Source organism: Homo sapiens, chromosome 2 (assembly GCF_000001405.40).
Source record: "Homo sapiens chromosome 2, GRCh38.p14 Primary Assembly".
In the NCBI taxonomy this organism is placed as follows: domain Eukaryota; kingdom Metazoa; phylum Chordata; class Mammalia; order Primates; family Hominidae; genus Homo; species Homo sapiens.
The window spans coordinates 127,268,790-127,290,900 of NC_000002.12; the positions used below are offsets into that span (position 1 = coordinate 127,268,790).

The 22,111-nt window shown below is 46.2% G+C and overlaps 1 protein-coding gene across 5 annotated transcripts in view; it reads right to left on the reverse strand.

Moving 5' to 3' along the window:
- The window catches only part of ERCC3 (ERCC excision repair 3, TFIIH core complex helicase subunit), a 36,855-nt gene that overhangs the window by 11,500 nt on the left and 3,244 nt on the right, over nt 1-22,111 (reverse strand). For 3 of the 5 annotated variants that reach the window (NM_000122.2, NM_001303416.2, NM_001303418.2), the window contains exons 4-12: nt 21,435-21,484; nt 20,900-21,035; nt 20,548-20,712; nt 19,871-20,075; nt 17,914-18,228; nt 11,658-11,842; nt 10,384-10,586; nt 4,076-4,172; nt 2,547-2,664 (exon numbers count right to left, since the gene is read on the reverse strand). In NM_000122.2, coding sequence (NP_000113.1) covers nt 2,547-2,664; nt 4,076-4,172; nt 10,384-10,586; nt 11,658-11,842; nt 17,914-18,228; nt 19,871-20,075; nt 20,548-20,712; nt 20,900-21,035; nt 21,435-21,484 — 1,474 coding nt within the window. Of the gene's footprint in view, nt 1-2,546; nt 2,665-4,075; nt 4,173-10,383; nt 10,587-11,657; nt 11,843-17,913; nt 18,229-19,870; nt 20,076-20,547; nt 20,731-20,899; nt 21,036-21,434; nt 21,485-22,111 lie in introns of all 5 variants that reach the window. The other 2 variants (XM_011510794.3, XM_011510795.2) reach the window with 1 other exon arrangement.

Below are 22,111 nucleotides of genomic sequence, written 5' to 3' on the forward strand. Positions count from 1 at the left end.
TAGCAACCTTAGCATATGATTTTTATTCCCTTGCTTAAATTAATAACTTTTACCTTTTCGCTTTAAGAAAGCACTTTACAGCTTCTCTGGCATATCTGAATTGCTAGCATCATTACACTTGTGCTTTGGGGCCATTAGTAAGATAAAGGTTACTTGAAAACAAGCACTGAGATACAGTGACAGTCCGTGACAACTGAGATGGCTACTAAGTGACTAATGGGTGGGGAGAATTTAAGCATGAATATGCCGCACAAAGCAAGAATTCACATCATGGATGCTACTCAGAATAGTGTGTAATTTAAAACTTATGAATTGTTTATTTCTGGAATTTTCCATTTAATATTTTTAGACTACAGCTGACCATGCGTAATTGAATGTGGAAAGGAAAATTGCAGATATGGGGGGACTACTGTATTAAAAAACTAGGACAGAAAATTCTGTGGCCTGAAAGACTTGATCCTTCAGGAAAATCTGAACATCTTTGCTTTGTAGTTCAAATGTCAGTAGGTTAAGCATACTGCCCTTGAATGTAATTGTTTCTCAAATCTTACAAGAGCTCAGAGATGCAAAGAAAGGAGCCAAGTGTCATGTTAAACAGTGTTTTGAGTAAGAAAACAATTCTATTCACTTTTTTTTTTTTTTTTTTTTTTGAGATGGAGTCTTGCTCTGTTGCCCAGGCTGGAATGCAGTGGCGCAATCTCGGCTCACTGTAAGCTCTGCCTCCCGGGTTCACGCCATTCTCCTGCCTCAGCCTCCCGAGTAGCTGGGACTACAGGCACCCGCCACCACGCCCAGCTAATTTTTTGTATTTTTAGTAGAGACGGGGTTTCACCATGTTAGCCAGGATGGTCTCAATCTCCTGACCTCATGATCTGCCTGCCTGGGCCTCCCAAAGTGCTGGGATTACAGGCGTGAGCCACCGCGCCTGGCCTTCTATTCACATTTAAGGGAGTTTTTAAGGCTAGGCACAGTGGCTCACACCTGTAATCCCAGCACTTTGGGAGGCCAAGGTGGGTGGATCACTAGAGACGAGCCTGGCCAAAATGGTGAAACCCCGTCTTTACTAAAAATACAAAAAAAATTAGCTGGACGTGGTGGTGCACGCCTGTAGTCCGGGTACTCGGGAGGCTGAGGCAGGTGAATCACACTTGACCCCAGTAGATGGAGGTTGCAGTGAGCCGAGATTGTGCCACTGCACTCCAGCCTGGGTGACAGAATAAGACTCTATCTCAATCAATCAATCAATCAATCAATCAATAAAGGAGTTTTCAAATTAGAGTAAGGAATAAGTAATGAATTATATTCACATTTGCTAGCAGATCATAGTCCTGTCAGTTTATAAAAGCTACTGTCTCAGCCTCCCAAGTAGCTGGAACCACAGGTACACACCACCACGCCCAGCTAGTTTTATTTTTTGTAGAGATGGGGTCTCACTACATTGCCCAAGATGGTCTCAAACTCCTGGGCTCAAGCTATCCTCCTGCCTTGGCCTCCCAAAGTGCTGGGATTATAGGTGTAAGCCACTGTGCCCAGCCAGCCGACTACATTTTATGACTTATAAGCTGAATCCTCACAGCAGTCTTGGCAAGACAGGATTGTCACCCCCACTTTGGATGGGAAAACCAAGTCTCAGAGGAGAAAATAATTTGCCAAAGGTGACACAGCTGGCTTGGTGCCTGAGTCCATGCTATTTCTAGTCCATGCTATCTGCCTCATCTCCATTTTAAATACAAGCTACTAGACGCTTCTTAAACACATCTGAACGCAGTACAGTTCCAACAGATGCCCACTAATCTTGTCATTTTCAAACATTCTAGCAGTCCAGATGCCTCCTTGAATAAGCAGACTCCTTGAGGATAGGGCTTGTGTCCTTGTCTCAGGATGTGCCCTGGTCCCAGTAAGACAGACACGGCCATCTCTTAGCAAGAGTGTCAGTCCCTGCCATGTCCACAATGGCAGTCTGGGCCCTTTTACCGCAGTAAGCAAGCACAGGGGTGCCACGCCTCCTCAGAAAAAGCCTTTGCAATGAGGATTCTCACCTCCTCACTCACTGAGCTTGCCCTGCCCCTGCTGCAAGCTGCCACCAGGGCGGCACTCTGCACAGGTTATGAATGACGTGCCCATTGTGTGTCTGCCCAAGCTGCTCCTACCAAACCTTTCCCTGCCTCCTGATCAAGTTCCAGAAGCAGCTTCCAGCTCCTCCACTTACACTGGTGGCCCAGCTCTGTTTTCTCCCTTCCATGTCTACCCCATAAGCACTGCCTTGCCCTGGCTCCCTCTCACCATCTACCAACACAGCTGCACAGTGTACAGAGCACATCTGTGTGGATTCCGTGACACTGTCATGGAAAACACCTGCATATTCACCCCCAAGGTATGAGAAATAATGATGGGCCATAAGGATCTAGGTCTTTGCTTTGGGATTCTCTCCCTCCAGAGTCTATTTAGCCCCAGGGCACATGGCAGCTCTCACCCCTATCGTCTTCCTAACTAAAGTGGTTTAAGAGGAGTGACCTCCTGCAACAGAAGATGAAAGGCCACTTTACCTTTTTTAGCTCGAAGCACCCGCCCTAGCCTTTGGGCTTCCTGACGCCTGGAGCCACCATGGGATGAGATCTGAATGAGGACATTTGCTTCCGGCAGATCAAACGAAGTGTCACCTACCTACAGAAACAAGTTGGAAGGTTTTTATATATGAGGAAAAAAAAAAAGTCAACTGATCCAGAATTTAAATAAGTTCTGTAGATAATTTTGAAACATAATCACTCTTTTCTCCTCTTTATACCAGGGTCTATCTGATGCAGGCAGAGAGAGGTGAAGCAATAAACCTCAGAAAGGCATCTCTGGGTCTCCAGGACCTTGTGTGAGTTCTGCTAAGAGTCATCCTGAAGAATTAATACCAGGCATCAGTGACATTCAGTGCTGGGTGCCAGGAGCCCAGAGATGAGAGGGCCCTTGAACAGAGACTGACTTTGAGTCATTCATTTTTTTGGCTACAGAAATATGTCTCCACAAAACCATCCATACTCTTACCTGTTGGCCACTGACACCAGCAGCACACGTGGGATGTGACCTGGGAGGAACAACTGCCCCATATGGAATTCTGACTGTAGGTGGATTCCTCAGCTCTGGGGCTCCAAACATCGAGGTTCCCAGCCACAGACATGAAGGTTTGGTGCTTATAAGCGCCCAGCCACAATCACATAAAATCTCATTTCTTTTTTTTTTTTTTTTTTTTTTTTTTTTGAGACGGAGTCTCGCTCTTGTTGCCTAGGCTGGAGTGCAACGGCACAATCTCAGCTCCACTGCAACCTCCACCTCCCGGGTTCAAGTGACTGAACCCTGCTGCCTCAGCCTCCTGAGTAGTTGGGATTACAGGCGTCTGCCACCACACCCAGCTAATTTTTGTATTTTTAGTAGAGACAGGGTTTCTCCATGTTGGCCAGGCTGGTCTCGAACTCCTGACCTCCGGTGATCCACCCGCCTCAGCCTCCCAAAGTGCTGGGATTACAGATGTGAGCCACCGCGCCCGGTTGTAAAATCTCATTTCTTTTGGGCTTTGGGTCTGTCTTAATCTGAATGACTATTCTAAACTGTGGGGCTACAGCTTCTGATTGCAGAGTAAACCATCCCTGAGCTGGGCCTGCGGAAGTCTGTGCTGACATCCACCACCCATCATCAAGGGACACCAGGAACCAGGACAAAGGCTGCCGCGACACACAGGATCTCCAACTTGTAAAGAGAACTTCATCTAAATGCCTACTTTTGCCAGAGTAGGAAATGAACTTTTTTTCCTTTTATAAATAAGGAAATACAACTTAAAACTTCTACATCCCCAAAAGAACTGGAAAAACCTCAAATAGCCTTTATAGATTATCCATGATGCATGCAAATCCTCAGTCTGCTCCTTCCACTAACCCCAGGCAGTGCCCCCTATCCCTGGACATGTCGGAAATGAAAACATGCAGGAGAAGTTCCTTCAGCAGACATGAATTCACTGTCCAGGAATCATAGTGTACCCCCCAGGTCCCCAGAGTGCTAGGGGCCTCACCTCCACCCCATATGCCACACAAACCTTGGATATGAAGATGGTGTTAATTTTGGGGTTGTGCTTGAAATTCTGGAGAATTTGCATCCTTTCCCCCTGAGACGTAGGTCCGTAGATATAGGGTCTAGAGAAGAATGAAGCTGTGTTAGACCACAGAATAATGCCTCAGTTATCTTGAAAACACATCAGAGGGAAAAAGGAGCTCAGGCTAGCTCTTCTCAAGTAGAAAGCCCTCGTCATGTAGGAATATCGTTACACCCAAAAAAATGACTGGCTACAGATGCACCTCCCAGCCTTCCCCACTGATTCTAGGTTTAGGCCCACCATTCTCTTCGGGATTCCCTCCTTTCCATTTTTCGTTTTCTTTTTGGACTATGCTTTTTCCTGCTTCAACATCTCTTACTCTCAGCACAGAGTCTATACAAGGAGCATCTCCACATTTCATGAAGCCCAAAGAGAGGTGCAAAGAAACCACTGCTATTTCCAAAAAAAGGCTGGAAGCAACTGTTTGCCAAGACACAGGCATGCTCCAAGAGATGAGCAGAAAGGAGAAAAGTGCCCTTCAGCCATTATTGTGCTGATTTCCCATAACACTAAGTTTTAAAAACTTCTCTTTAATTTCTAGCTCCCTGCCAGGCGCGGTGGTTCACGCCTGTAATCCCAGCACTTTGGGATGCCGAGGCGGGTGGATCACCTGAGGTTGGGAATTCACGACCAGCCTGACCAACATGAAGAAACCCCGTCTCTACCAAAAATACAAAATTAGCCGAGTGTGGTGGCGCATGTGTGTAATCCCAGCTACTCGGGAGGCTGAGGCAGGAGAATCACTTGAACCGGGGAGGCAGAGGTTGTGGTGAGCCGAGATCGCGCCATTGCACTCCACCCTGGGAAACAAGAGTGAAACTCTGTCTCAAAAAAAAAAAAAAAAAAAAAAAAAAATTTTCCAGCTCCCTGCCAAAGGGTACAACCCTATCAATGAACTCAATGGTTATCATCCCATAGCATTGGGAATGTCACACTCCTTCCCTCTGTCTTGGAATGTGACGGTGGACAGTTTTTGTAGCTTCCCAAGAATCATAACAACAGTGATGATGATGATGACAACAGCAAAGACAATGAAGACAAACTACAGGTACGCAGGACCTACCAACACCAGGCATTGAGCTGAGTATTACATTAAAAAAAAAAAAATCCAGCCAGGCGCGGTGGCTCACACCTGTAATCCCAGCACTTTGGGAGGCGGAGGTGGGTGGATCACCTGAGGCCAGGAGTTCGAGACCAGCCTGGCCAACATGGTGAGACCCCATCTCTACTAAAAATAAAAAAAATTAGCTGGGTATGGTGGTGGGCACCTATAATCCCAGCTACTCAGGAGGCTGAAGCAGGAGAATCACTTGAACCTGGGAGGCAGAGGTTGCAGTGAGCCAAGATCACACCACTTCACTCCAGCCTGGGCAACAGAGTGAGACTCCGTCTCAGAAAAAAAAAAAAAAGAAAAAGAAAAGAAAAAAATCCAGCCAGCCCTGCCAAGATTCCTCAGCATTGTAAAAGACAGGTTTCATGTTCCCCAATTTACATGTGGGAAACCAAGGGTCAGAAGCCTGAGCAGGTGGAACCTGGGAGTGGCTGCTCCACTGCCGAGGCCCGTTAGCACCCAGAGCAGTGCCCATTAATGGATGTACCTCAAAGAGCAAACCCCTTGCCTGTGGGGAAGCTGGATAGGGCCTGGGCAGCTGCACACCCAGGCTGATGGCCTCTGATTAGCCCAGTCACAAGCTGCCTTGCCGTGATCCAGAATGTCCCGGCCACCACATAATTTTATCATTTTCTATGCATGTCATGCAGTGAAAAAGGTTAGAAGCCCCACTCGTCAGAACAGCCTGACTCTTGAGACCCAGGTTTTTAGGTGGTTTTCTCCTCCCCCATCACCAGGAAAAACTACTTGCACAGTGGGGAGCCCTCAGTTTCTAAAGGTTCCCCCACACAGATGAAATAGAAGGAAAAGCACCCTCCAAGTGGAGAATGTCACATTTACTAAATACTTACAAGCTGCCAGGCACAAGAATCCACCCCCCACCATCAAGGGACACCAGGACCCAGTACACATTGGGTGGCAGTAGCTCCATGTGACCGAAGTACAAAAGGAGTTCAGAGGTAAACAACTTTCCCACATCCAGTCTGTCTGATCCCAAAAACGATGCTCTGCCCACAGCCCCACACTGCCATATAACCCTAAGCCTCTCTTGCAAAGTGCTTTGGTGATACCAATGCCTTTCTTATGAAGGCTGGGAGGAGCCAAAAGCTTGGAGAATCCCCACCACACACGAGCAAAGAATGGAGCAATGCCCGAGAGCCACAGGATCACTTTTTTTTTAAAGGATGGGGTCTCACTATATTGCCCAAGCTGGACTTGAACTCCTGGGCTCAAGTGATCTTTCTGCCTTGGCCCCCCAAAGTGCTGGGATTATAGGCATGAGCCACTGCGCCTGGCCCGCAGGATCATTTTAGAAGCGAGAAAACCAAGAAGAAAAAACACTACTTCATACATTTAAAGGCCAGAGACACAAAAAAAAGGTAAAAAGTACACATTGTAATGATCATTCTAGTACACAGGAGACAGCCACAATCTGCTGCCCTTCACTGTGACAGACTGGCTTGGAATTGACAGTGCCAGGCAAATTAACGTCCCTGCCCAAGCAGATGCTCGGGAGGCTGCGGCTAAGGCACAAGCCTCAGGAGTGCTGCAAATGTAGGTGGGGGAGGCCCCTGGAGTGAGGCTCCAGAAGACTGGAGGAGCATTGCTGTGGGAGGAAGGATGGGGAGAGAATAGTTCTTAAATAAGGCAAAGTAAATATAGGAACTGTCTCATTGCCCTGCTCAAATTGGCACTAATGTGACAGAACACAAACCCACCAAGAAAACAGGAGAAGAAATAACAGCAGATGAGAGAAGTGGGTAACATTTCAGAAGCTGAAAAGCAGACAGATGCAGGCACAGTACCTGAGCTAACAGACTAGAGAAAGCAGAAGCTGGAGCCGGCAGGAGGGAAGACCGATACAAAACCCGCCGCCTCTGTGTCCTCTGCAGCACGCAGGAGGGCTCAGGAACTAGTCACCAGTTGCCTGAGAAGGTGGGGAGGTGCACAGGAGGACTGGCAGTGTGTGAGTGTGAGGAGCAGTTGGGTCCGGCCGGCAGCAGGCAGGCCACCTCCACTGGTGGGGCACTGGAGGCTTATTCTCCAGGGATGCCCGGCAGAGATGAGGGAAAAGGCAAGACTGAATGCAAAGATTCCACAAGCCCTCCTCTTCCCCTAACACACGGTGGTGCCCAGGGGACTGAAAAATTCCTCACTGAAGAAACCGTCCAGCCCAAGAGAAAAGTCCTAGAGATACTGGCATTTGGCAACCTCCTGAAGAAATAGCCAGGCCCTGCCCAGCCACTCTGGTGAGGTCCACAAGCTGGCAAACCCACTAAGCCACACAGAAAGGCCTGCCAGGTTTTCAGTGACTTTAAACCAATAAAATACAGTCAAGGATTACCAAAACTCAGAAAGACTCAAAAGACAGGTAAAAACAATTAAGACAAAAAAATGAAGAAAAGAGACATGGCAGGAAACAGACGGAAGCTTCAAAAGTTTTCAAAGCCTCCGAGAAGACACTCTATTCACAAACAAAACAAGAACAGTTACCAGGAAAGAACTCTCAGAAATTAACAAGTCTCAATACAAGGGTTAGAAGACAAAGAGATAAAAAAGTAGAAAAAAGATAAGCAAACTGGAGAAGCTGTTCAGAGGATCTAACATCTGATGAATCAAAATTCCAAGAAGGGACTACATAGAGAAAGTGATTAACAACAAAAAAACAGAAATTCTCAGAACTGAAGGACACGAGTTTCCAGATGGAAAGGATATACTGAGTGCCCATCACGATGAAAGAAAAACATTAAGAATATCACTTTCAAATTTCCAAAAAGAGAGAAGATCCTACCAGTTTTCAAGGGAAGGAAAACGCACAGCCACCACAGCAGACAACACACTGAGAGGAAGCAAAGGGCATCAGACTGCCAAACTGCTGCACTGGAAGCTCCAATGTTAGTTCTAGGACCTGGCCAAACTACTGATCAAGTATAAAGTCGAGTAAAGACATCTGTAAACATGTGAAGTCTCCAAAGCTTCTCCTCCTACATCCCTTCTCTCAGGAACCTACTGGAACATGTGCTCCATCAAAATGAGTAACCAAGAGGGTGGAGATTTCAGGGTGGGAAACACAACAAAGAGGCCCAGGGAAGTCATGGGGTAGTGTCCAAGGGAAACCCCATGGTAACAGCTGGTGGTGTCTCTAGTCCTAGACAGCAAGCAGGCCAGAACAGAGTAAGCGAATGGAGTGCTGGTGGGGATCCCACTGGGGAAACAGAAAAACAGAACTGAGAAATTACCTGACCCTACTGAGTTTATGGTTATGTGAAGACTTTGGAGGGGAATAATTATTCAATGCACAGAAAACCAAGCAAAAACAATGACAAGGCAATTATTAACTCCAAGGCAAAAAAACATTTACAAAAAAGAAAATGTAAGGCCGGGCATGGTGGCTCACACCTGTAATCCCAGCACTTTGGAAGGCCGAGGCAGGCAGATCACGAGGTCAAGAGATCGAGACCATCCTGGCCAATATGGTGAAACCCTATCTCTACCAAAAATACAAAAATTATCCAGGCTGTGGTGGCGGGTGCCTGTAGTCCCAGCTACTCAGGAGGCTGAGGCAGGAGAATCACTTGAACCCACAAGGCAGAGGTTGCAGTGAGCTGAGATAGCGCCACTGCACTCCAGCCTGGCAACAGAGCAAGACTCCGTCTCAAAAAAAAAAGGAAAATGTAATAGTACTCTACAGCTCTGCCTGAACATACTTACACAGTCAAAATAATGTAACTGAATATTAAAGTAACCCCCAACTTGTGCTATTCCCATATTGGGAGAATGGTAGGAGAGAAAACAGGAGTGGGGAGAGTGGTGTATGTAAGAAAGCTAAACCCTCAACTCCTACAGTAGGAAGTTAATAGGCAATTTCTATAACTGATCATCAAGAAATTACTACATAAGCTATTGCTTAGAAAGATGAAGGCTGGCCAGGTGTGGTGGCTCATGACTCTAATCCCAGCACTTTGGGAGGCCAAGGCAGGAGGAACTGCTTGAGCTCAGGAGTTTGAGACCAGCCTGGGCAACATAGCAAAACCCCATCTCTACAAAAAACAAAAATTAGCTGGGTGTGGTGGTGCGTGCCTGTAGACCCAGCTACTCGGGAGGCTGAGGTGGAAGGATTGATTGAGCCCAGGGGGTCAAGGCTGCCGTGAGCCGTGATTACACCACTGCACTACAGACTGGGTGACACAGTGACACCCTAACTCCAAAAAAAAAAAAAGAAAAAAGGAAGAAAGAAAGAAATATGAAGGTAAACAACAAAAAAGAGTCAAAAGCGGCTGTCTTCAAGGAATAGAATTGTGGGTGGGAAAATAGAAGCAGGGAATTGCTGTTTTTCACAATAATCTAAATGTTGACTTGGATTAAAAAGTCTTTCTAAATTAAATAAAGGTATAATTTTAGAAACTTAAGAAATTTAATCTTTCTATGAGTTTGTCTTCCCTTCTATAAAATGGGAACAACATTTTATATGGCTGAAGTGAGGATTAAGTAAAACCTATGTATAGTACCCATAGCACATAGCTTGACCTGTCTCCATAGAGGGCCTGGCCTTCTGCAACACTTACAGCACCTGAAGTCCTGTGTCACTGTAGGAGCAAGCGCAGACCTCTTCCTCCTTACTTGGCAGAGCTTTACAAAAGCCAGGTTTTAAGCACAAATATTTGGGTGGAGCCATGGGTTGATGAGGATACTGCGTGGGCATTTCTAAGCTCCTTCCAGATGCCAGTCCGTACTTGGGATGCCAGCCCAGCCCATCTTGCCTTCCCAGCCCCTAGGCCATCCAGTCTGGCCTCCTCTCCACCCACAGAGCTCACACAGCCCAAAGCTCCAAATGCCAACTCCCACCCACCTTTGGAGCCCAGATCTTCCATGGGGCCCCACCCAGCTCAGTCCAAGTCTCTGCTCCCTGTTCTTTGGGCTCAAGGTGACTAGCCCCCCTTTTCTCTATGCTCTAACCTCTGACTCCAACCACCTACTTCAGGTCTTCCCTGGTTTCTGAGACCAGGGCCACAGAACAAGATCTTTGGAGCCCAAGAAGTTCCTGAGAGAAAAACAAAAAAACAAAACAACAGCCACCTTCTGCACTCTCAATGGGGAAGAGAAACTGGCCTGGAGGAAGCTCCAAGTTTTCAATTCTTACTTGTTCAGTCGAATGGCATATTCCTTTAGGGCAAACACATTGTCAGCAAAGACAATAATCTTGTCATTCCTCCTTTCATGAAACTTGATCAGAAACTGGCAAGCTCTAAATTTGTTGGGGTTCATGGTGTACAGCAAGATTCGTTTCTTGGTTTTGATTGCCACATATTCCCGGTAAAATTCAGGAGACATAGGGCACCAGACCTGTAATACAGTAAGAACCAGGGGTCATTTTACAAGTTTAAACACCACACAATTTAAAACTTTTGAAGACCTTTCTCTAGCAGAATTAGCTTTAAAACAAAACCAGTCAGGTGCAGTGGCTCATGCCTGTAATGCCAGCAGTTTGGGAGGCTGAGGCAGGCAGATCACTTGAGGCCAGGAGTTCAAGACCAGCCTGGCCAACACAGTGAAACCCAGTCTCTACTAAAAATACAAAAATTAGCTGGGTGTGGTAGTGCATGTCTGTAATTCCAGCTACGCAGGAGGCTAAGGCAGGAGAATCACTTGCCCAGGAGGCGGAGGTTGCAGTGAGCCAAGATCACGCCACTGCACTCCAGCCTGGGTGACAGAGTGAGACCCTGTTTTAAAAAAAAAAAAATGCTATGTGAATTAGAAATCAGTACAACTGAAAATAAATGCATGCACAAAACTAAACCCAACCTAATACCTCCTATTGAACTGGACGTTTTCACATGTTAACCACTTAAAAGATTTTTAAATGCAATCACATCCAGGGAGTTATTTTCACACCAGCTGCAAGTGTGCGAAACCAGATTCTCAATTGGTAGTGTCAGCAATTCTTCCATTTAAGCCACACTTCCACACACGAGTCAGCACTGCTACTGAGTACCGCCACCTCTTCACACACTTCCCAGCAGGGCTGGGAGCATATCAGTTAGGCGCTTGGGGCTATCAGAGCAAAGCCCTTTGCTGCCAGGCTCCCAGGCAGCACTGTGGTATCAGGGGCCTTCATTCATCCCTGTGCCCTGAATGCTAATCCTCACCCACAGAAATCCATGACTGGTAAACCCCATGGCTAGGAAAAAGAATCATCACAAATTCAGGGGTATGTGAGATATGTGACAAGACAGAAGATATGCAGCAAGTGGGTCTAGTACCACCCAACCACAGGGTGACTGAGGATCCTGTATGAAGTGGTAGCAGGTGAGCCTAAGTCCTGACCTGTGTCTGCCCATGAGGAATCGATCTGATCACTCCCCTGCCCATAGGAGGAGGCCCTTTCCCAGACGCCCCCAGCCCAGGCCCAGCTACCTCAGCACACTGGACTTTGGCGATGTAGCCATTATTCTGCAGCTCCATCCAGTTGGCTTCGTAGAGCTTAGGCCCAATCAGAAAATTTAAATCCACAATTTTGTCATCTTCGCGGACGAGGGTCGCAGTCAAACCCAGCTTACAGTGGGCCTGCACGATGGTGAGCACCCTTCGGAACATCTTGGCTGAGGAAACAATGGGAGCATTCACACTGTCACTTTTCTTTCTTATTTTTTATTTATTTATTTTAAAATATTTTTTGTAGAGATGGGGTCTCATTATATTGCCCAGGCTGGTCTTGAACTCCTGGCCTCAAGCAATCCCCCTGCCTTCGCCTCCCAAAGTGCTGGGATTACAGACGTGACCCACTGCACCCAGCCTACACTGTCACTTTTTCAAATGCTCATAGCTGTGCAACTTAACACTGGCTTATGACACCACCTGAACTAACCCTTGGGTTTCAGGACCACAGAAGCTGGCTCTAGACAAGAATGACTAGGCAAATGCTTCACCATCACTTTTAGACCTGTCCAAAAGAAAATGAAAAGGAGAACAAGAGGGTGAAATGAGCTTAAGGAATCTCCAAGTTAATGAATCCCAGCATTCCCCTCACAACAGTTATCAGTAGAAGTACAGATGGCAATTTGAAATACAACCTGCAATACTTACTATTAATACCATTAAGCTCTAAATTACGCAAAGAATTTTCCCCTAACACTTGTACCCAGGTTACTGAAAAGAAAGTTGACAATCTAGGGAGAGGAAGAAATGAAAGAAGCCAGCTCTTCTCAGCTTCCCATCATTTTCCCAGAAACCGAGAAGAAAGCCAAGCCCACGGGAGTGATGAAACTCCAGGAACTGTTCGCCCAAGCCCTCCGGCCCGCCTTAGGAAACTCCCCTCTCCAAACTTTACCAATTCAATCACTTTGGTCAACCAGCAACCTCTTTTTCTTCCTTTCTTTTGAACATTATAATTCTCTCTGGTTTATCAAATAAAATAAACACATAAAGGGTATGAGTTATTCATTTTTAAAAAACCTAATTTATGGATTTCCACGGGCTCACCTTTTAAAAATTCTAATACTCTGAAGCAAGGTTAAAATGTTTGAGTCATGCTTATCTTACAATATAATTGAAAGTAGGGCTAATGATATTTCAGAAATAAATAGACACAAAAATCTAAGGAAAAAGAGGCCTGAATGCACCAAAACACAAAGACGTTCACAGTGAAATAACATAGGGTTGCCTAACTCTAAGTAAATGTTTAGTTTTTACATCTACATGGTTTGCACACAACACCACATGCAAACACACACACACAAACACACACACACACACACAACACAGAAAACAAAATCAGCTCAGGGTTATGTCTAAGGAAAGACTGTGCTGGCTCCAAAATACAGTAGCCAAGAACCTCAGACCAAGCTCCCCATGTTAGAGGGAAATGGTAGTCAAGGCAATGGCTACACCAACCCAGTGTGGGCCCCAGAGAGGCAACACTGGGGGACATACTGACCCAAGACAAGGATAAGGCAGGTAGGACTCTGCCTGGACACCCGTGACCCCATCACACCCCTCTATTACACTCTCCTACAGCCCTGACAGCTGTCACAGGTGAATAACTCACAGCATACTACTCAATATATTTTTACAGACATGCAGCTGTGGAACCACCTAGATCAGGATATAGAGAACCAGGCACCCAGAGGTCTCTCCCCTGACCCCTTCTGTCAATAACTAGCACTCTTCCTTGAGGGAAACACTCCTCTGACTTCTGAGAGGGGTCTGCCTCCTTTCTGAACTTTGCATGAATGAAATCATAGTATGCACTTTTGTGTGTGGCTTGTATCACTCAACATTATGTCATGGTTGTCATTTGGCATTTATTTGTGTGGTTACTTGGCTGTCCCTTCCACTTTGTCTCCAGTGCCAAGTACAGTGCCTAAACTTAGTAGGTTCTCAATAAATACCTGTAGAAATAATGAAACTGGCACAGTACCTAGCACACAGGAAGCACTTAATATACACAAGTACCATAATATGAATCATTAATAAAAAGGCATAACAGAGCTCCTTTTGAAAAATCTGTAAAACAGCACAGCAATCTTTATCCTTTGAGATAAATCTCAAAGATTGATCACTCCACCTAACCCAACACAGCAGACGTTAAGACAGTCAGGAGACTTACTGTGACTTCCTAGCATTCCCTTATTTAACATTTGCTCTCTGGGACAATGAGCATGGCCAGGCCACTGGGCTTATGGGGCCTGTACTCAAAAATCCCTTAGAGTTTGTTGGTTTCACTCCGCAACTCAACCAAAGACTAACTCATCCAGTGAACTAGACGAGAGACAGACAAACTCACAGACATATGTGAGTGTGAGATGCACCTTTTTGTACTTGTTCATCAGATAACCAATCCCAAATCTGTGCTGTTGTCCCCTGGAACCTGGGACCTGGGGCTTGGGTTAAAGAAAAACATGAACGTGTACCAAACATATAGTCAGACAGAATGCCTCAAGCCCTGAACACAGCTTCCAACCAAACTGCTACAGAACAATTCCAGACTCCTTTGTGGGTAGTGATTCTCTGTACCATCAATTTTCAATCCTAGCAGACCCAATACCCACCCTTCCACCTTTTTTCTTTTGAGTTTTTAAATTCTCACAGTAAAACTGACTTGGGGCGGGGGGTGGGGGGGGCACTTCTATGCATTTTAACATATTTACATTTTTGTAACCAGCACCACAATCAGGGTACAGATAAAGACAGCATCCCCCAAAATTCCCCTGTGCTCTCCTTTAGAGTCATCCATCTCTGACCCCCCACTTCTGGCAACCACTGATCTGCTGGCCAGCACTATACTGTCGTTGTATAAATGAAATCACATACTATGGAAGCTTTTGAGGCTGACTTCTTTCACTCAGCACCATGCTTTTGAGATTCATCCAGGTTGCAACATGCAGCAAGTTTGTTCTTTTTCACTACTGAGTAGTGTTCCAGTGTATGGATGTACCACAGCTTGTTTATCCAGACACCCACTGATGAGCACCTGGGTTTTGGATATTATGAACAGAGCTGCCATAAACATTCGTGTACAGGATTTTGTGTAAACCTCTTTTCATGTATCCAGGATACACAGGAATGGGACTGATGGGTCATGTGGTAATTTCATAATAAATGGACAAACTGTTTTCCACAGTGACCATACACTTTGCAATCCATCCCTCCAGGAATGTGTGACAGTTCAGTTGCTGTGACCTCATCAGCACCCGCACATCAGTATTTTTTATTTTGGCCCTTCTAACTGGCATATGGGAGCATCCTGTGGTGGGTTTAAATCTGCAGTTCCCTGATGACTAATGAGGTTGAACCCTTTTTCAAGTGCTTTTTTGACATATGTATATCCTTTTTTGGTGAAATGTCTATCAATTTCTTTGGCCTATTTCTTAACCTTTTTGCCATGGCCTGAATGCCTAACAGGAAACTCAAATTCACACATCTAAAGCCCAACTCCTGATAGTCACCTTCCAGACCAGCTCCTTTGAGAGTGTTCCCCATCTCAATTAATGCCCACTGTATCCTCCCTTTGTTCAAGCCAAAAACCTTAGTGTCATTCTTGATTTCTCTCTGATTCCACACCTGACCTGTCAATTAAAGCTTCACAACATATCCAGAGTCGGATCACGCCTTCATCCTTACTGGGATTCCACAAACTCACCTCACCGCTTCTGTCTTGCTTCCTTCAGTCTATTTCCAGCACAGCAGCCAGGGCAGTATTTTTACAGTGTAAAGTCAACTCATGTCATGCTCTGCTCAAATCCCTCAGATGGCTTCACACTAAGAGTACAAGCCAAAGTTCTTGTCGTGGCCTACAAGGTCCTACAAGACCTGCCCCAATACCGCTAATCTTCCTCAGCCTTGACTACTGTTCCTATGCTCTCCTCTGGCCGCATGGCCACCTTGTGCTGTCTCACTATGCCAAGTACTTTCCCACAGCAGGGCCCACACCCTGGGCTTCCATCAGAAAGACCTCCAATCCCTCCCTGGCCAGCTGTGAACATCTCTAGGTATCTCCAGAAACCCATCAGGGCTGAAGAGCTCTCATGCACAGAAAGAACCAGATGCTGGGGCCATTTTGACATTTTGAACACTACCTGTGAAAATGCCTCAGATTTCATTTTGTTCATAGTAACCTCTATTAGACTCCTTAATTTACCCTAATCTGTTCATCTTTATTTTTTTTTTTTGAGACAGAGTCTCACACTCTGTCACCCATGCTGGAGTACAGTTGCACAATCATGGTTCACTGCAGCCTCAACCTCCCAGGTTCAAGTGATCCTCCCACCTCAGCCTCCTCAGCAGCTGAGACCACAGGTGCACACCACCACACTTGGCTAATTAAAAAAATTTTTTTTTGTAGAGACATGTCTCACTATGTTACCCAGGCTAATCTTAAGCTCCTGGGCTCAAGCAATCCTCCTGCCCTGGCCTCCCAAAGTGCTAGGAGACTACAGGTGTCAGCCACCATGCCCACTCCTAATTTGTTAATCTTAATCCCTTAATCTGTTTTTATCAAAAAAGATTCGCCCAAAAAACTATACAGCAATAAAAGGAACAAACTACTGATAAATGCTAAGGCACAGATGAATCATTATGGGAAGTGAAAGAAGCCAGACATAATATATATTGTATGATTGTGTTTATATAAATTTTCCATAAAAAGCAAATCTATAGTGACAGCAGTTCAGTAGTCATCTGAAGCTAGATAGAGAAACAAAGATTGACTGCAAATGAGTACAAAGGAAATCTAAAACTGGATCATGGTGGCCGAATGCAGTGGCTCACGTCTATAATCCCAGTACTTTGGGAGGCCCAAGCAGGCAGATCACTTAAAGTCTGGACTTCAAGACCAGCCTGGCTAACATGGCGAAACCCTTTCTCTACTAAAAATACAAAAATTTGGCCAGGTGTGGTACTTTACGCCTGTAATCCCAGGGTGAGGCTGAGGTGGGCGGATCACCTGAAGTCAGGAGTTTGAGACCAGCCTGACCAACACGGAGAAACCCTGTCTCTACTAAAAATATAAAATTAGCTGGGCATGGTGGCGCACACCTGTAATCCTAGCTACTCGGGAGGCTGAGGCAGGAGAATCACTTGAACCCGGGAGGCAGAGCTTCCAGTGAGCTGAGATTGCACCACTGCACTCCAGCCTGGGCAACAAGAGCGAAACTGTCTCAAATAAAAAAAAATTAGCCGGGTGTGGTAGTACACACCTGTAGTCCCAGCTACTTGGGAGGCTGAGGCAGGGGAATCAGTTGAACCCTAGAGGCGGAGGTTGCAGTGGGCCAAGATCACACGACTGCACTCCAGCCTGGGCAACAAAGCAAGATGCCATCTCAAAAAAAAAAAGAAAAGAAAACTTGGATCATGGTCATGGTTGCACTGGTCCACAAATTTACTAAAACTCATTGGATTATATATTTACAAGGGGTGATTTTATGGTATATAAATTAAATCAATAGAGCAGCTTAAAAAAAAAAGGTTTGCCCATGATACTTGGAGAAGTAGGGCTTCTATTACATATTGACTAAGGATCAATATTCCGGGCTTCAAATAAAACACATCACCACCATTTTGGGAAGGGCTTTTCAGTGCTCCTAACCCAGTTTTTAGAGGGCCATTAAAAAACGGATGAAGCTGAGCAGCAAAAGGAAGATGGAGGAAAGAAAATATCATTTTCTAAATCACTACTGAGCCAGTGATTAAGCAAACTGTGAATGTGAACACTCCTGCCTGCATCCCACTTAAGAATTACTGGCCGGGCACGGTGGCTCACGCCTGTAATCCCAGCACTTTGGGAGGATGAGGTGGGTGGATCACGAGGTCAGGAGTTCAAGACCAGCCTGGCCAAGATGGGGAAACCCTGTCTCTACAAAAATACAAAAATTAGCCTAGCATGGTGGCAGGTGCCTGTAATCCCAGCTACTCAGAGGCTGAGGCAGAGAACTGCTTGAACCTGGGAGGTGGAAGTTGTGGTGAGCTGAGATCGTGCCACTGCACTCCAGCTTGGGTGACAGAGTGAGACTCCCTCTCAAAAAAAAAAAAAAGAACTATTAAAAGCTTTACCCAGCAAGCCAGCAAGTCTTTCTAGCCAGTTGGGTGGGCTACACAGCAGTCCCTTTCCCAACCTAACAACTGGAAATTGGTTTGTCTGTTCAGCAAGTGGACAGCTCAGCTCCAGCCTGCTTACCTGGTATGGTGTGCACTTCATCCAGGATCATGAGGCCCCACTCCTGGGTCTTGAGCCACTCCATGACTCGCTCGGCCTCCCAGGACCTTTTGGTGGTGTGGCCCAGCATGGAGTAGGTGCTAATGGCAACGGAGCAGCCGATGGGCTTGTCCTTGGCATCGGAGGTGAACCGGCAGATCTGGCTGTCGTCAATGGTGGACCACATCTTGAACTGGGCTTTCCACTGCTCCACAGAAACAGCTGAGTTGCCCAGCACCAGACAGCGTTTTCTGACAGTGCATGCAGCAGTCACACCAACCAGGGACTTTCCAGCACCTACAAGAAACAAGAGTGCAATCCCACCCAAGGACAGGTTGAAATGAAGGACAGGGACAGGCAGAATGACTCACAAGTACAGCAATCTAGGAAAATGTCTTGTAACAGTCCACATAGCTGACATCTGAGCGACACACACTGCTCCAGCCTGTTTTCTTCTTTATAATGAGGAGACATGCCCACTTCACATACATATGTGAGAAATGGCAGGCGCTGGGGCCTACTGTAGCACTTTACACACATCTCATTTAAATGTCAAAATCTCAAAACAAACCAGTGAGAAGAGAAATGCCTGTTATTGTTATTTTAAAGATAGAAAAACCTGGCTGAGCCACCATGCCACGGTGGCTCATACCTGTAATCCCAGCACTTTGGGAGGCCGAGGTGGGTAGATCACATGAGGTCAGGAGTTCAAGACCAGCCTGGCCAACATGGTGAAACCCTATCTTTACTAAAAATACAAAAAATTAGCCGGGCATGGTGGCGGGCGCCTATAATCCCGGTCACTTGGGAGGCTGAGGCAGGAGAATATCTTGAACCCAGTAGGCGGAGGTTGTGGTGAGCCAAGATGGCGCCACTACACTCCAGCATGGGCAACGGAGCAAGACTCTGTCTCAAAAAGAAAAAAGAAAGATTGAAAAACTAAAGCTGAGGAGTACTTTACCTTGCCCACAGCCACGGGACAGTGAAGCTACTGGGTCCCAGCATGCCTGGCCCACAGAAGGAGGCACTCGGCAAAAGACCACTATTATTATTACACAGCAAACGGGGCTGAGAATTCAGGGATGCGCTATGTGTGTACAGAGAAAATGAAATTCCAGGAGCTTCTGAGTTTACTACCATCCACCATTTGAAGATCAAGAGAAAAATCAAGCTTTTCCATTAAACAGAGATCCTTCCTTTATTATAAAAATACACTGTGAGTTACCAGGAATAAACGTAAATAAAAAAAATTTGTAAAGTGAAATAAAAAAGGAAAACAACATCAAAATAACCCTTGGAGTTTTGGAAAAAAAGAACCTCCCCTTCCCTGAAGACCTTGCCTCTGTAAGTCCTCAGTGGGGTCCCAAGGTGAGTCTGCTGTGGTCTCTGGCCAAGAAGCTAGGCTAGGACCTGACACTACTGGGATAAGTGGTCAAACAGGTGCCCAGGGGGCCACTCCTGCCTTTCCCTGGACCTGCACACCATCCTAGTCATCCAGGAACACCAAAGTTTCTGCGCTAGGGAGTCTCCAAATACACAACCCCTAAGGCTGATTCAAGAACAAGAACCTAACCCCACTAAGTGCAACAGCCCCTTGCCATCATTACAATCTCACCCCTCATGTGCTCTAATTTTTCTTCGCTGACTCTAGCACCACCCAAGGTTGTACACATCTGCTTACCATCTGTCTCTTCCCCAGAAGAGTGAGCTCCATGAGGTCAGAAGTGTTGTTCTAGCCACCATAATACCCCCAGTGTCCAGGCCAGGGCCCATACACAGCAAGCACTCAAATATTTGTCAAGTCATGAATCAGGGAGTCACCTGATCTTGGCTTTTCAGCAAGGTGTGATTTAGGGAAATGTGCAGAGAGAAAGCGGGAGGCAGCTGGCAGATCCAGACACAACAGCCTGACCACCTTCTTAACTCTGGTACCACTTACCGCAGGGAAGAACAATGACCCCCGAACGTGCACGCCCGTTTCCAAACATCTTTCGCAAGCTCTTCTCCTGATAGGGTCTGAGGACAGCTGTGGGCTTTAGGTCAATGTTGATATCAGGGTTGACAGAATCATTCCGGAAGTCATATTCTGCCAACAGAGGGTACTCCAGGTGGATGCAACGTTTCTGGAGTTCCTCAATCATTTCCTGGAAAGAGGGCACAAAAGGGGTTTTAAAATCTTGTTACTGTGCTCAAAAACATTACATCTTCTAAGAGGTCCAATGGTCAAAAAAGTGGCATTCTATCTAAACTTCTACAAGATTTTAGATCTTGCTCAGTCAACAACCGGGATAAAGCACAGAAAAGCAACCCAGACTAACAACACTTTGAAAATGAAATCTAATCAGCAGGCAAAATTGACCTTCAGGCACCATTTCTCACATCTCCTCAGGAACCTGTGAAGACCAGCCTACCAGCCTGAAAAAGAGGACACTGGGACTTTAACTCCATCAGGAGAAATGATGCCATGGCTCACAGATAATAAAAAGGAGAAAGCAATTCAGGGACCAACAGGGACTCCTTCCTTTCACACAGACTACAGGCAGAGTCGACACATGGCTGGACTAGCTTCTAACAGCAGCTCAGTGAAGGAACCAGGAGGAAGGTACATTCACTAACCTGCTTGACTTCAAAAGACACTGTCTGTGTCTCTTCTTCTTCTTCTTCATCCTTGTCCATTTGCTCATAGAAGTCAAACAGGTCCATGGGGATGTCAGATTTACCCTGTGGATCTGTCACTCGGGAAGTGGAGGGCCCACCACTGCTTTCAGCAGTCTTAGAAATCTGTGAGAGAGGTAGGTGCTGAACGTGCACACAACATTTAATTCTGCTGTTATCAAGCAATGGGTGAAGTTGTAAAGGGTAGAACCAGCAGGGCTGCTAGGTTGTAAGTGCTGGGTTAAAGACACCTGAGAGAACTGAAATCCTAAATGCCTGCCCCCACCCAAGGGTGGCCCAGGAGTCCACATACGGCAGATTTGCTTGTGAAAGTCTCTGTGATGAGCTCAGTGGCCTCCCCTTCAGAGTTTCTTAAGCGGCATTCTCGGATCACGGGGTCCTGGAGAAGATGCTGGATTACATCAGGGTGGCAACTTTCAACGAAGTATCTGCAAGCAGGGGAGGAAGAAGGGGTCTACTGACCAGCAGGTACCTCCTGGAGATTCCACTGCTCATTCAATTAGATGGTCTGGAAATACAAGCCTCATGACTCTCCCCACAACCCTTCGCCAAATCTGTACCATGAGCTGCCGGCCATGATTTAACATATGAGGGTTGTGACTTTGAGGTCAAGTAGGCAGGGGCCTGAGCCCAGCTCCACTGCTAGAGGAAATACAGTGGCCAGTGGATGAGTTTCCAGTCTGGGCCACATCTCTTGTTTCTCTTCTCTTATCTGTGCTTCACAGAAAAGACAGCATAAACATCAGGTCCTTCCCATATCCCTTTATTCCTGCTGGTGCGCAGAAAGTGACAGTGCCTTGGGACAGGCCTGTCATGGAATCTCTTACCTGTTGTGCTTCAAGACCAGCTTGACTTTTCCATAGCTGACAGTACACAACTGCAAATACAGATAACATCCAACAGGTAAATGTGCAGCTAACTCAGAACACATTCATTACTGGTCACATCTTACACCTACCAACCAAGTGAAAAGTTCATTTTACTTTAGGGAAACCCAACTTGCAATCCTAAAGTGGTCAGATGTGCCTAAACTGAGCTTTTTCCATTGGCCTCTGCTTTCTGAGAACAAAATCTTCCTCTTGCCTGGGTAATTCTGATGCATATCCATTAAGTTATAAAACGCTGCTTAAAATCTTGCATTCTGCCTTTCCTCTCTATTCCCACAGCCCCCACCCTAGTCTAGAGAAGACCACACCAGTATTACTACAACTCCACAGAGTATGTGCACAGTAATTGCGGCTTAAATAAAATGCAAAGCCTCTTCACCAATGCTCCTATTTCCCCAAATAGAATGTAAGCATCTTGATGGCAGAGAATACAGCTTAAATCCTCCCAGGTTCCCAACCACCTTTAGGAAGGAATACAGTAGAGGCTGTGTGGCAACAATAAAAATTTGCCACTCAGGCCAGGCACGGTGGCTCACACCTGTAATCCTAGCACTTTGGGAGGCCGAGCCAGGTGGATCACCTGAGGTCAGGAGTTCGAGACCAGCCTGGCCAACATG